Source organism: Homo sapiens, chromosome 8, assembly GCF_000001405.40.
Source record: "Homo sapiens chromosome 8, GRCh38.p14 Primary Assembly".
In the NCBI taxonomy this organism is placed as follows: domain Eukaryota; kingdom Metazoa; phylum Chordata; class Mammalia; order Primates; family Hominidae; genus Homo; species Homo sapiens.
In genome coordinates this window covers 105,481,490-105,496,520 of record NC_000008.11, presented here as the reverse complement: position 1 = coordinate 105,496,520, position 15,031 = coordinate 105,481,490, and the positions used below count along the sequence as shown (strand labels likewise).

At 36.1% G+C, this 15,031-nt stretch overlaps 1 protein-coding gene across 10 annotated transcripts in view; it reads right to left on the bottom strand.

Moving 5' to 3' along the window:
• Positions 1–15,031, bottom strand: part of ZFPM2 (zinc finger protein, FOG family member 2) — a 486,102-nt gene that overhangs the window by 308,019 nt on the left and 163,052 nt on the right. Inside the window, exon 1 of one of the 10 annotated variants that reach the window (XM_047421627.1) lies at positions 3,154–3,271. The exons of the other annotated variants lie outside the window; for them this stretch is intronic. Within the exon in view, the coding sequence (XP_047277583.1) occupies positions 3,154–3,187 (34 nt within the window). The 5' untranslated portion in view covers positions 3,188–3,271. Of the gene's footprint in view, positions 1–3,153; positions 3,272–15,031 lie in introns of those variants that run through there. 10 annotated transcript variants of the gene reach the window in all.

Here is a 15,031-nt window from a genome sequence, read left to right as displayed (position 1 = left end):
GGAAAGGCATATTATTTTTGTTTTATTCTTGCCCCAAACACATAACTTCAATCTAATCATGATAAAATATTAGAAACAAACCCAAATTTAGAGACAGTCTACTAGATATTTGAGTACCACTCTCCAAAAGTGTCTTGAAAGACAGGGAAGATTGAGGAACTGTTATAGATTGGGGTAAGAAGATACAAAACCACTGAACCACCAATGCTGGCTGGGCGTGGTGGTTCAGGCCCATAATCCCAGCACTTTGGGAGGCCAAGGCACGGGAATTGCTTGAGCTCAGGAATTCAAGACCCAGCCTGGACAACATAGTGAGAACTCCCCCTACACCTCTAAAATAAATATATAAATAAATAAATAAATGTAAAAAAGATACAAAACCTAAATGTAATGCAATACTGTGAAGATCTTAGAATAGGGAAAGACATTCATAGGAGAAAAAATTCAGAAATCTGAATAAAGTCTGGAGTTTAGTTAATAGCATTGTATCCATGTTAATTCCCGGCTTTTTTGTAATCCTAATATGGCTACGTAAAATCATAACATTAGAAGAAGCTGGGTATAAAGTATGGGAACTCTCTGTACTATTTTTGCTACTTTTCTGTAACCCTAAAATTATTTCCAAACAAAAAGTTAAACAAAAATAGTGGTGTGATAAAAACACATAGGCTGTGATTAAGAAGTTCAGTGAAACTGTAAAACTGGTGGCAGCAGGTTTTCAAGAGTAAGAATAACCTTAAGTTAAAACTCCAAGCATGGCAAACAGTCAATATCCATTTCTTCTTCTTCTTCTTCAGAAAAAAACGATGAAATGTTAACTGACAAAAAGGGCACCCACAATAAAAGCCTCCTGTTTTGCAGTTGATGTGGACTAAAGACTGAGAGGAAGTAGAGATATCCTTAAAAGGAGGAAGAGAATCAAATAAAATAAATTCCTACCTATGGATATTTATAAGGCAGGAACAAGCAAGCAAGCAAACTAACAAACTTCTACAAGCAAAAGCAAATATTTAAAGGTTAAGAAACATGTCAAATAAATTGGTGGAAGATTCACAAAAAAATGGCAATCTATACATTCCAATGTATTCATTCTTTCCTGTATCAAGGGAGCAAAATTTTTTTTAAATTATACTGTAAGTTCTAGGGTACATGTGCACAATGTGCAGGTTTGTTACCTATGTATACATGTGCCATGCTGGTGTGCTGCACCCAGGGAACAAATGTTTACTAAGCCAAGGACTATACATTTTGTCGATGACATTTAGATTAATAAAATGTAATTGCTGTCCTCAAGGAGATTAAGATGTGGTGAAGAAGAGGGACACATAAACGAATGACTAAAAAGTAAACAAGATGTTCAAGGCTTTGATAAACAGAAGACTGGTGGGACCTAGCAATGGCTAAAGGTAGGTCAAGAGTGGGCAAACTACAGCCTGTGGGCCAAATCTCAACCACTGCCTTTTTTTGTATAGCTATCAGCTAAGAGTAGTTTTTATATGTTTAAATAGTTTTTAAAACAGTAGAAGATTAATATTTCATGATATGTGAATATTATATAAAATTCAAATTTCTATGTCCACAAATAAAGTTTTGAATTTCATCAATAAAAATTTTGTGGACATTTGTCTTTCTGTTTCATTATATAAGAACCAACATGGTATCCTTTTATTTGCCTTTTGGCCTAAAAACCTAAAATATTTGCTATATGGACTCAAACAGAAAAAGGTTTCCAAATCCTGCCCTAAGCCATCAGAATTCTGTACATCAGAATTCTTGTTAAAACACAGACTGCTTGGTTCTTCATGCTGAGTTTTTGACTCGGTAAGTCTGGGATGGTACCTAAGAATTTTCTAACAAGTTCCCAGATAATGCTGTTACTGCTGGTCTGGAGACCACACTTTGAGAATCAGTAACTTAGTTATTATCTTCTTCAAAGGACAATGGAAAATGTCAAGGATATAGATGGAGTAACAAGACACTCTAGGCAGAGAGCATATGGAAAGGAAGTCATGGACATGGCATAGTCCAATATGGTAAATTCAAAGGGAAAAATGATGACAGCCCTTATGAAAGCAAAAGCACCTAGGGATAGAGACAGATACAAGAGAGGAGAGAGACAACGTCTGCAGAATTAGGTGTGGGAGGTACCCAAGAGTCGAGGATGACACCTGGGTCTTAAGCGTGCGGAATGGATAGATGGTGATGGTTTCCACGGAAAAGTGTAATGCAAAAAGAGTAGTTGATTTGGAAGGAAAGCTGCAAAATTCACTTTCAGATATGTTGAGTTTGAGATTATATATATATATATATATATATATATATATATATATATATATACTTTTGGTGGCAGCTTAAATGTGAGCTAAAGCTACATATTTGGAAGTCACTGACCTAGTGACACCTCAGATATGGGTGAGATCACCAGGAAGCATGCACAGGCTGAGTAGAAGACAAGCCTGAAGGCAGAATCTTAGGCAATACCCACATTAAGGAGGCTTCAAGGGTATGGGAAAGAGAAGGCCAACCCCAACAATATGAAGATAGTTTCAAGAAGTTGCTTTGGTTGTTTTGGAGGTCAGAGAAGTCAAGCAATAAGTAGTCCTTGAGTTTGACAGGCAAAGTAATTCCTAAAATTGAGAACTGTGTTACTGTAGCATGGGGATAATTAGGAGAAAATATAGAGGAAAAAATAGGAGGATACTTTTTATAAGGCTTGCTGTAACAGAAAAGAGAGACAAAAGACTGTGGTTAGAAGCAACATAAGATATGTCAGTGGACAGATTAACTGCTTGTCTGACTATTGATAGATCTATCTATCTATGGGAGACATATTAAGAGTTTAAAGTAAAAGGTAATGGTTTGGAATACCACAGCAGGGCCAGAGTGCTACAACTGGCAAGTGGAACTGAGACCAAGGTGGGAGAATCTGATAACCACAGTGCACAAACTTTAGTGTTTGTCACAACCGGATGATGTCATCAAGTGACATCACAGGTGGAGCAAAAGAAGTACTTCTCTTATCACTTGCAGTGTGTGTTGTATAGCATGCGGTACAAGATTGTCTAAATCTCAAGGCATAAAGTGTAAAAAATTGTGGACTTCATCATCTTTCTTCAAGGGTTTAGTCTGGAAATAACTGTCACTTTCAAATACCTGCTTTTCCAAAAAGGATTCTGATGCTTTCCATATCCCACTGCCAGAATTTCCAGCAGCACCTCCAAGAATCATTTTTCTTTGTTCACAGACAGCTGCTAAGTTACACTTGGGGGTGCTGAAAGAAACAGAAGCTCAGAAAGTCATATGAGGCCAAGCTAATAACTGGAAGTCCTAAGATCAACCCATATTCTGTATGAACAAACTTTTAATTTGCAATGAAAGTCATTAAGAGAAAATAATTAAATTTATAGCATTTCCAAAGCCAGACATATTTAATCACATTTAACTCCTACCATATTATTTCTTATAAATGCTGCTTCCACAGTGGGGAAGTAATAGAGGTCTCAAGTCAACTTAGAGTCTAACAAAACTGAGTCAATGACAAAATATACAAAAAATACTACATTAATTTAGGAAGCAAATCCATTGAGCATTCCTAACTACTGCAAATGCAGGGCATTAATTACTATGTATTTGTATATTATATTTTACTTTACAGTATCAAAAATGTAGGTTGCATTTTACAAATATAAAATCTATGAAAATTCTCATTTATAGTTATTTACATTAAAATCAGAACAGAAGTTTTGCATCTAATTATAATCATTACTAATCAGTATTGTTCGATGAGGATTTATATGGCAGGAATTTTATGTGTACTATTACATTTACTACTCAAAACCTCTATTAAATGAATATAATTACTTCCTTGAGCTGAGCAAAGCTGTAAGCAAATAGTAAAATCTCACACTATTTCTTTACACTGATGGTACTAAAATACTTCTTACCTTTGTTGTACTTGACACTTTGTTGGCCTTTATGTGTAGGGCAATTTTCCCTCATTTGTCATTTTCCCAAGAAGCAATATATGTATCTTTTCTTCTTAAGAAGTGAAACAGATGTCTAAGCATTTTGTACAAAATAGTATTTTTTCAGGTTTACATATTTTAGAAAGTTCAATACTATTTTTTCAGTACTAGAGATAATCTGGGATTTTGGCAGCAATTACCTTTAGTGGAGTTTCAATGTCAAAGTATGTAAAGTTGGAGAAATACATATGTAATTGGTATACAGATAATCAGCATGTGGAAATTCTATATCCTTAAAAAGCACAAACAATGGATGCAGTTGTGGAGACTAGTGTTTTAAGATGAATTATAATTACTGTCTAATGCAGAGCTTAAAAACGCACAGTAAAACAGAAACATATTTGAATTTCTTTGTTTTAACACAGTTTGTTAAATTGATTTATCTCTTCCATAAGGATTATTGTTGATGTTTGTAGGCTTTGAAAAACTGGAACTACTATAATAATCACGTATAAAGAAGAATTGAGAATGAGTCTAAAATTATAAGAGATGAAGGACATTTGCAATTGAGCTTGGAATTCAAAAAGTGTAATGACTTGTGTTGTATTTCCAACAAATATTTCATTTTAATTAAAATTCAGGATTTTAAGTTTCATATGTTTAAATACTACACATCATAATACATTCTTTTAAAAAATCAATTTTTGCATATTATCTATAACCACTAAGTCACTCTTTACCAAAGAACATTTTTTACAAGGTAGATATAAGGCAATAAATTCACTATTCTATCCTGTCCTTCTGGCACTTAGAGTTAAGGGAAAAAAACAGAAAATCTTCAAAAATTATTTGGATGTAAGTGGCCCAATTCCACATATGAAACATACAGCTATTCTTTCTTTTTCCACCATTAATTACAGACAAATTCATCTTGCTCTTGTGAAGTCTGAAGTTTGTTGTTATTATTGTTAGATGAGTTGCATTCAAACTCCAACAACAACAAAAAAGATGAGGCCAACATTGAAATTCATCTCACAGTCCGGAATTTACTTAACGGCCAGCCTGTGCACTGTGATAAACGGAATGATGATCCGGCAACATGTCTTTATCCATGGTTTGCTTTAATTAATGCCGGCTTGTTTGTTGAAAAGATGATTAATATGCCAATGAAAATTGCATAATTGAATACCACAACACTGGCACAATCAGAAAGACACATGCAGTTTTTTGATTAACATTTATTATTATTATTATTATTGTGCTTCTTAATGTACTCTTCTCACTATGAAAGGATGCAGTTCTTTGACCAAGAGGTGAAAGAAAACAGGGCTGAGGGCAGGATACTTCATGAGCAAGAGTAAAATACAATGTGGCTTAATCAGAGTGAAACAGTTCTTTGGTTGAAATGGTCTTCAGAATTTCAAATTGCAGGCAATTTCCAATTAAATATACATGCCATCCAAATATAAAAGAGTGTTACTGTGGGTGATGACAGAAGATTTTTAAAAAACCAAATATTTCTAAAAACAAGATGTTTGCATAATATCAAGAAGAGTGGTCTTGGGATTTATATCTTTGATATAAAGATGACCTTTTAAAATTATCATTTTATTTCAATAGTAAAATTTTGAGTACATATTTTTAAATATTGTCCTTTAAAAGCCTTATTTTTCATTAGTTATATGTTAGAAAATGTTTTCAGTGTATGATCTTAAGACATGCAAGTACTGTATTTTGTACACATCATTTTATATTAGATTGGAAGTTTTATTTTTAATTTCATTCATTCAAGCACTTATTTACTCAGCCATGTCCATGGGCCTGGCTCTATACTTCCTACTTACAATTTAAACATATATAAGAAAGTATTCCCGCCTTCAAATTGCTCATTTTAGAAATATGAAAATAAAATGCTACAACAAAAGTTGGATTTTCTATCTTCAGAATTAGCTCAATATCACTTGTTTAAATATAACATTGATAACCAAATACACATATGTGCAAAATGTATGTAAACATAGTTATACCTTTGAAGTTTTAGGCAACAATAGCTGTGGTCTGTCTATCTGCTACAGCAAGAAACAAAAAGGACTATTATTCTGGACTACAGATTTTTAGTGGTTCTCTATTGCTGTTTATGTAGAAATAACTCCATATAGCATTTAAAAAATTATAAAAATGGAAAGCTTTTACCAGAAAGTAGTTTATAAAAGATAACACCATCTCAGTTTAGAAATAAACTCAAATGAATAAAAATAAACATTTGATAAAATTTTAAACTTGCTAGGATATCATTTTTCTTTTTTTTTGAGACGGAGTCTCCCTCTGTCTCCCATGCTGGAGTGCAGTGGCAGGATCTTGGCTCACTGCAACCTCCGCCTCCCGGGTTCAAGCAATTCTCCTGCCTCAGCCTCCTGAGTAGCTGGGATTACAGGTGCCCGCCACCACGCCCAGCTAATTTTTGTATTTTTAGTAGAGACGGGGTTTCACCATGTTGGTCGGGCTGGTCTTGAACCCCTGACCTCGTGATCCACCCACCTTGGCCTCCCAAAGTGCTAGGATTACAGGTGTGAGCCACCGCACCTGGCAGGACATCATTTTTTAAAAATAATCTACTATAAAAAGCTACACAGAAATCATATGAGGTAATTAGTTGTGAGTCCCCTTTGTTAAAATCTTCAGAAGCTTGATTTGTTTTGAAAATATAAGTGTAAGAATTTGATAGAGCAATTTGAATTTCTTATGATTTTAGTTAAGAATGAGAAAACAACTCTTAAAATACAGCTTTTTTGGGTCAGGCACAGTGGCTCACACCTGTAATCCCAGCACTTTGGGAAGCCAAGGCAGGTGGTTCACCTGAGATCAGGAGTTCGAGACCAGCCTGGCCAACATGGTGAAACTCCATTTCTACTAAAAATACAAAAATTAGCCAGGCATGGTGGCATGCACCTGCAATCCCAGCTACTGGGGAGGCTGAGGCAGGACAGTTCCATGAACCCATGAGGCAGAGGCTGCAGTGAGCTGAGATCATGCCACTGCACTCTAGCCTGGGCAACAAAGTGAGATTCCATCTCAAAAAAAAAAAAAAATATATATATATATATATAAAAACATATATCTATAAATATATATAAAAGATATATCTATAAATATATATAAAATATATATCTATAAATATATAAATATATACCTATAAATATATATATAACGTTTTACATATACATGAAACGTGTTCTTGTCATAATGAATGGTAAAGTGATATCATCTTATTACCGACATTATTTGGCAAATTTCTTCTAAATAGAGAATATTTAGCACAGGATTTTTCTCTAACTGATTGCTGAAAATATGACTATGCGGTGACACAGTGGCAGTGGTGGCCTCTGTTCTCCCTACTGTGGACTCAACTACAGTGCCCTTTAGAAATGTACTGCTATATTATACCTTCATGGGAAAGTCATGAATATACTCTCAATGGCATCAGAACCAAATGCATCAATTCAGATTAACTTATGAATATTACAGGTAGTTCTTAAGGTTCTTAAGGTGTTAGTATCATTATGATATTAAAACACTTGAAATAGAAGAAAATGAGTTTTCCAATGGAAAATAATGTTTCAAACTAAATTACATAATGGACCCGGACAGATCGAGTCTTCCTTAAGAGAGAAAATGGCTTCCAACATTGGAAGACAATTAGAGATCTGAGAGGCCTGGTTTGTTCACATAGAATCTCTTTTCCTCCAATTCTTTTACTTTGGGCCAGTTACTTAACCTTTCTTTTATTTTTTTGAGATGGAGTCTCGCTCTGTCACCCAGGCTGGAGTGCAGTGGTGCGATCTCGGCTCACCACAACCTCCGCCTCTTGGGTTGGAGCAATTCTTCTGCCTCAGCCTCCTGAGTAGCTGGGACTACAGGCGCGCACCACCATGCCCGGCTAATTTTTGTATTGTTTTTTAGTAGAGACAGGGTTTCACCATATTGGCCAGGCTGGTCTTGAACTCCTGACCTTGTGATCCACCTGCCTCAGCCTCCCAAAGTGCTGGGATTACAGGTGTAAACCACCGCGCCCGGCTGTTACTTAACCTTTCTAACCCTGTGTTTCCTATTCTGCAAAATGGAAATAATGAAGATCCAAATGTTGCAGAAACTATTTACTTCCACTATTTGCCCGCACTCATCTTCCTAACAAGCAGCCACTGAATGGAAATGCACGGTTGAAGATAATGGAACAACAAAATGGAATGAAGCTAGATTCTTCCTAATTCTGGAGCTGTCAATACATCACGGATTGCTTATTCTAAACTCCATATACATTTAGAAAGATAACCTTTCGTATATAAGCCAATGTTATTTTGGGATTTTGTTCACTTGCATTTGAAACAAATATTAACTGGTGTCCCTAATGAAAACTGTGAACTTCGATTGATTATGATGTGTCAATACAGATTCATCAATTGTAACAAATGTACTGTTGTGGTGGGGGATCTCGGTAATGGGAGGGTTGTATATATGTTGGGGCAGAGGTACATGGGATGCTTCTGCACCTTCGCTCTCAATTTTGCTGTAAAACTAAAATGACTCTAAAAAAAGACATGACAGATAGCTAGCTAGCTAGCTAGCTAGATAGATAGATAGATAGATAGATAGATAGATAGATAGACAGACAGACTTTATAGGGTTAAAGTAACAAATTAAATAAGAAAATGTGTATAGGTCATTTAGCACAGTGCCAAATAATTACTTAATAAAACCTGGGCAAATGTAGTAGATGATGATAATGATGACGATGATGATGATGGTAATAATCTCCTGATTCATTTCATTTATTCTATAGAGTTTTTTTTTAATTCCTATTATGTGCCAGATACTGTTCTAGTGCAGAGCTTGGTAATATCTGGCCCTCCATCTGCTTTTGTAAATAAAGTTTCACTGGAACACATTCATGTCCATTAATTTATGAATGGTCTACTGCTGCATTTGCACAACAACGTCAAAGTATACACTCCATAAGTAGTCCTTTACAGAAATCATTTGCTGATTCTGTAAATCGTGTTCTGTAGAACCATGGAGTTTGCATTCTAATGGGGAAAACAATGAATAAATTAAAACTTAGATGTATAATATGACATATTGTGGCTGGATATGGTGGCTCACACCTGTAATCCCAATACTTTGGGAGGCCGAGGCAAGAGGATAGCTTGAGCCCAAGAATTCAGCACCAGCCTGGGCAATATGGGAAGACCTCATTTCTTCAAAAAATGTTTAAAAGCAGCCGGGCATGGTGGTGCACACCTGTAGTCCCAGCTACTCGAGTAAGGAGGCTGCGGTGGGAGGATCGCTTGAGCCCAGGAGGTCCAGGCTACAGTGAGCCATGATTGCACCACTGCACTCCAGCCTAGGTGGCAGAGAGAGACTCTATCTCAAAAATAAAAATATAATATAACACACTACATATAAGCTTTTAAAAATCCACTTAGAAGGTGAATTAAGAAGCTATGAAAGCACCAAAAACCAAGAGAAGGGGGTACCTGACAAGCCACTGTGAGTACTTCATCAGACTTGTGAGTTTATCCTAATTGTGAAGATAGGCAAATAGACTATCAAAAGCGTACACATTTAAATATTAGTGTAATGTGACTAGATCCCTAATTTTGATCACAACCTTGCTAAGCATCCAACTAATAATCAGACTTCTCATATGGCTTGCTTACAGAGGAAAAAAGTATAATCAAAAGACTAACTTGAATCTCTGGTCCATCTGACAAACATATTTTTCATTGCAAATAAATAAACTCAGATCTTATACACATCAATCTCTTTGAGCTTTGTCTTTATCTGTCAATATCCCTGAATCTGAAATTTCTCTAGATTGCTAGGTACCTACCCAATTCAGTTAAAAAAATCATTTCTTATATGATGTAAATTTCAGTGATGTTCTTTTCCCGCACAGTTTGGTGTTGATAGCAAAGGATCCCGAAGTGAGTCTAAAAAGCTAATGTCCCTTTCCCTATTTCTGAAAATACAAGCAAATACCTAGGACAGTTATCAAGACAGTTATCAGGAACAATCTTCCAAGGGCAAAAACATTTCAACCCTCCAGAGTTTTAGAAGGAAAAAAAAATGTATGGACTCCTTTGTTAGGCCAAATTGATTAAAACACACACAAACACACAGCATACACACACAAACAGACACCATACACACACAAACAAGGTAACTTCTTTTGAGAACACTGTTCAGGTTAAGTCCAAAGAGAAGTCATTCATAATACATATATTAAGAAAAGTCACGCATCATGTTTCAAGTAGTAACACTAAAATATTAGGACTAGACATCCAATAAGATGCTTACTGAGTAACAGACCCCATTCCATAAGGTTCAAGTGAATTCTTAGGAGATTATCGCCTTCTCACTTATAGAAGTAGGATTATGAGTCAAGCAGAAGGAATAATGACAACCAGAAAGATCCATTTCTGAAAAGCTTTTAAAAAGAGGCCTCCATTTTCTCATCTCCTGGCCAGCTTTTCATGTGAGTCATCCAAAGCTCAGGTGATAGATCTCCGTGTTATTGAACCTGCTCTAGTATCTAAATCGGGCCATGCTTAGCTAAATAGATGGTCAGCATAAGTCATAATTCACCGGTAATGCCTTAAATTTTTACAAAAAAGAAGCTTAAATCGCTTCTTCTAGTTTTCCTCCTGTCATTTTGACAGTCCCTTTTCAGTCTCCTTGTCTGGATTCTCTTACCCTATCCTTCCTTAACTATCAAAGTTCTACAGAGTCCCTTTCCCCCAGTAGTCCACCTTTTCTTACTTGCTACTCTTATCTGTCTTTGCTCTTGAAATCTTTAACAAAGTCCTACAGCTTCTTTTAGAGTCTATAGTTGCTCTTCCCTCTTCTCAGTCTCTGCTTCTCCTGCCTTCTTTCAAGTCCTCATCATCTTTTGCCAAAATCATTGCTTTAGTCTCCTAACATCCAGGCTTACAGGCCGTTACACAGAGGCTACAATGACAATATTTCTTTCTTTCTTTTATAGAGATAGAGTCTCGCTCTGTCACCCAGGTTGGAGAGCAGAGGCACAATCATAGCTCATTGCAGCCTTGAACTCCTAGACTCAAGAGATCTCCTCCCTCAGCCTCCAGAGAACCCAGGACTGCAGATGTACTAGCCTGGTTAATTACAATGACAGCCTTTCTAAAAAACACATCGGACTTTGTTATTCTCACTCAATCAAAAACAAACAAACAAACAAACAAAAAAAAACAAGCAGTAACCAGTAACCTCTCAGTAACCCCTGGACTGATGCTGCTGCTCCCTGCAGGCTGGCTGTTGGACTCTGTCGTTGGTTACCCTGGGCATTTGAGGCTACATGTGGTCAATGATTAAGGCTTAGGCCCACATGACTCGCTGGAACTGAGGCCACTTCATGAAGCCAGGCCCTTCTATGGGCGATACTTACCAATGTATAAAGTTACCAGGGAAGCTTGTTTGTCTTGAACTGGGCTCTGGACTTTAAGAGGTAAATTACACATGTTCTTCCTGAAAGAATGTCAGCATTGGCCCACTAGTCTGTCTTTATCAGGGTTTGGCTGTAGAGTTTATATTGTCCTATCTCTGAGAATCCAAACCTCCTTTAATAAGTTGGGACCAAAAACACCCTAGGTTGGTAATATTCCTAGGGCAAAGCTGACAAATAGAAAAGCTGCTCCAGAAAGATGTCTTCCCAAACCACCCACAATTTCCATAGATGAAGGCCCCCTAAGAAAAGCTCACAACCCCAAATTAGAAAACACACAGATAAATACACAAATTCATCAGCCTAACGATAAAACAGGGACAGGCCCTTATAATCTTCTGGGGATGATAACAATAAAAATAGTAGCCAATATTTATTGAGAAATTACTAGGTGTCAGGCAGTGTGGCACTATTCTAAGGACGTGTACTCATTAATTAAACACCCATAGTAACTCAATGAGTAAATGAAATTATTTTCCTTGGCAGTTGAGGAAACTGATTAAAATTAGTTAAAAAGATGCCAAAAATATGTATATTTAAAATTATTAATGACTTAATAGGATTAATGAAAACATCCATAAGGGTATAACAAATCACTATTAAAACTGAAGTCCAATTAGAAAATATGAAATAAAATTTCTAGAAATAAATATATTTAAATTAAAACCTCAGAGGAAAAATTGATTAGACTTAACTAATTAACTAAACCATTGATTAGACTTAACTAATTTAAGTAGTTAAAAAAAATTTATTAAGATACATGGAGAGCAGAATGAATAGTTTATATCTCAAACATGAATTCTAAAAGAAAAGAATATAGTGAAGAAATAGAAATATTTTGAAGAAATAATGTCTAAAGCTTTCTGAAATCGATGAATGAAATGAATCATTATATTTGGCAAACACAAATCACAAAAAGATAAAAAATAAAGCCACACCTAGAAAGATCATATGCAACTGCAGAACATCAAAGTAAAAAAGAAGATTTAAAAGTAATCAAAGAGGCCAGGTGCAGTGGCTCACACCTGTAATCCCAGCACCTTGGGAGGCTGAGGTGGGCGGATCATGGGGTCAGGAGATCGAGACCATCCTGGATAACACGGTGAAACCCACTCTCTACTAAAAATACAAAAAAATTAGCCGGGCGTGGTGGCAGGCACCTGTAGTCCCAGCTACTCGGGAGGCTGAGGCAGGAGAATGGCATGCACCTGGGAGGCAGAGGTTGCAGTGAGCCAAGATCGCGCCACTGGACAGAGCAAGACTCCACCTCAAAAAAAAAAAAAGAAAAGAAAAAGTAATCAAAGAGAAAAGACAGATGACTGACAAAAGAATTACAATTAATCTGACAATCTTTCCAGCAGCAAGAAAAGAAGCCAGAAAATAATAGAATTATATCTTCAAAGATCTATGAGAAATCAACTGAACGTAAACATTTTTTTTTTTTTTTGAGATGGACTCCCACTTTGTCACCCAGGCTGGAGGGCAGTGGCAGGATCTCAGCTCACTGCAACCTCTGCCTCCCGAATTCAAGTGATTCTCCTGCCTCAGCCTCCCTAGTAGCTGGGATTACAGGCGCCTGCCACCACACCCAGCTAATTTTTGTATTTTTAGTAGAGATGGGGTTTCACCATGTTGGCCAAGCTGGTCTCGAACTCCTGACCTCAAGCAATCCACTCGCCTCAGCTTCCCAAAGTGCTGGGATTACAGACATAAGCCACCACACCCAGCTCAACTGAACATAAACTTTAATATAGCCAATTTATTATTCAACAGTGAGGGCTGAATAAAGTTTTTGTTTAGACCAAAAGGGCTGAGAATTTATTATTAAGAGAACATTGCAGAGGTAACTACTAATTTATTTCAAGAAATTACAGGAGGCTGTGTGCCGTGGCTCATGCCTATAATCCTAGCACTTTTGGAGGCTGAGGTGGGATGATTGCTTGAGACCAGGAGTTTAAGACCAGCCTGGGCAACATAGCAAGATCCTGTTAAAATAAAGAAGGAAGGAAGGAAGGAAGGAAGGAAGGAAGGAAGGAAGGAAAGGATGGGGGGAGGGAGGGAGGGAAGGAGATAAGGGAGGGAGGGAAGAAAGGAAGAGAAGGGGAAAGGAAAGGGGAAGTAAAGAAGGAAGGAAAGAAGGAAGGAAGGAAGGAAGGAAAGAAAGATTAAAGAAATGAGATGCAAGTATCAACAGTGAACAAGAATGCAGGTAAATAAGCAGATAAACAAAATAATGCATCTAAATAAATATTTCACATGTAATACAATAATTGCAAATTTCTAAAATATTAGGAAACAAATTCATGTAAAATAGGAGGGTGTCCTGGGTATTAAATGATTCTAAAGTCTGCATATTTGGAAGAAGACTATAGATGTTGAATAATGATAGATTTTGCTATGATGGGAAATATCAAAATAAACATTGAAAGAAAACCACTAAAAAACAGAAATAAAATTTATGTCTGCTAAGTTGGTAGAGGGGAAAAAAGACATTTTTTAAAAGTTGACATAAAAGAAGTTTGTGAAAAGAAGGAAAAAGAATTAAAAAATGTATACCATATTATATGGTAAAAATAAATAGAACTAGATCAGTAATCACAATAAATGCAAAGAGAAGTATCCAGTTAATGGACAAAGCATCTGAATTTAATTTTTTAAAAATCTGCCTGTATGCTACATTCATGAAGTACATCTAAAAAAGAAAAGAGGAAAAGGAATAGAGAAAGTGTACAGGAAAGATACTATATCAGAGTAAACAGAATTATAGCCAAAAAAATCACTATTAAGGATAGAGTAATTAGATAATTATTGAATTAATAATTCACTAGGAAATAAAAATTGACTTCCATGCACTTGATGGCATAGCCTTAAAATACATAAAGTAAAAATACAGTGAATTACAAGAGAAAAGCTGACAAATCCATTGTCATAATGGAAGATGGAAACATACCTTTTGCCATAATTGGTAAATCAGGCAGAAAAACATTACACAATCTGATGACCAAATTGTTAATAATAAGGGATACAGATTACTTTAGTGCATATATGTAATGTTGATAACTGCCCATTCACTCAGGCCCAAATCATTTACTCAGAAGTCAAATTCAAATTGGGATTTTTCTTATTATTTGTGGCAATAAGTTGCTGTTGTTGCTGATGATGTTATTTTGAGCTTGAATTTGTGCTCCAACACACACTATCGAGTTAGTTTGTGACTGCATCCAAAACTGACAGTCTGGTCTGGCCTCAGTAGAGGTCAATCTAATAAAGGGGTTGCTGTCTGGTTCTTACCTGGATATCAACTACATGCTAACTTACCTACTTAAGATACATTCTTACTATATTAATACCATTCACTTAACAGACCCATTGGTGGTTGCTCAACTGAACATTTGGGAGGGACTTGTGTCCCTCCGAAATTCCTATGTGGAAGCCCTAATTCCCACTATGACAGTATTTGAATATAGGGCCTTTACAGAAGTAATTATGGTTAGATTATTAGCTCATAAATTTAGGAGCCTAATCCAATAGGATTAGAGTCCTTATA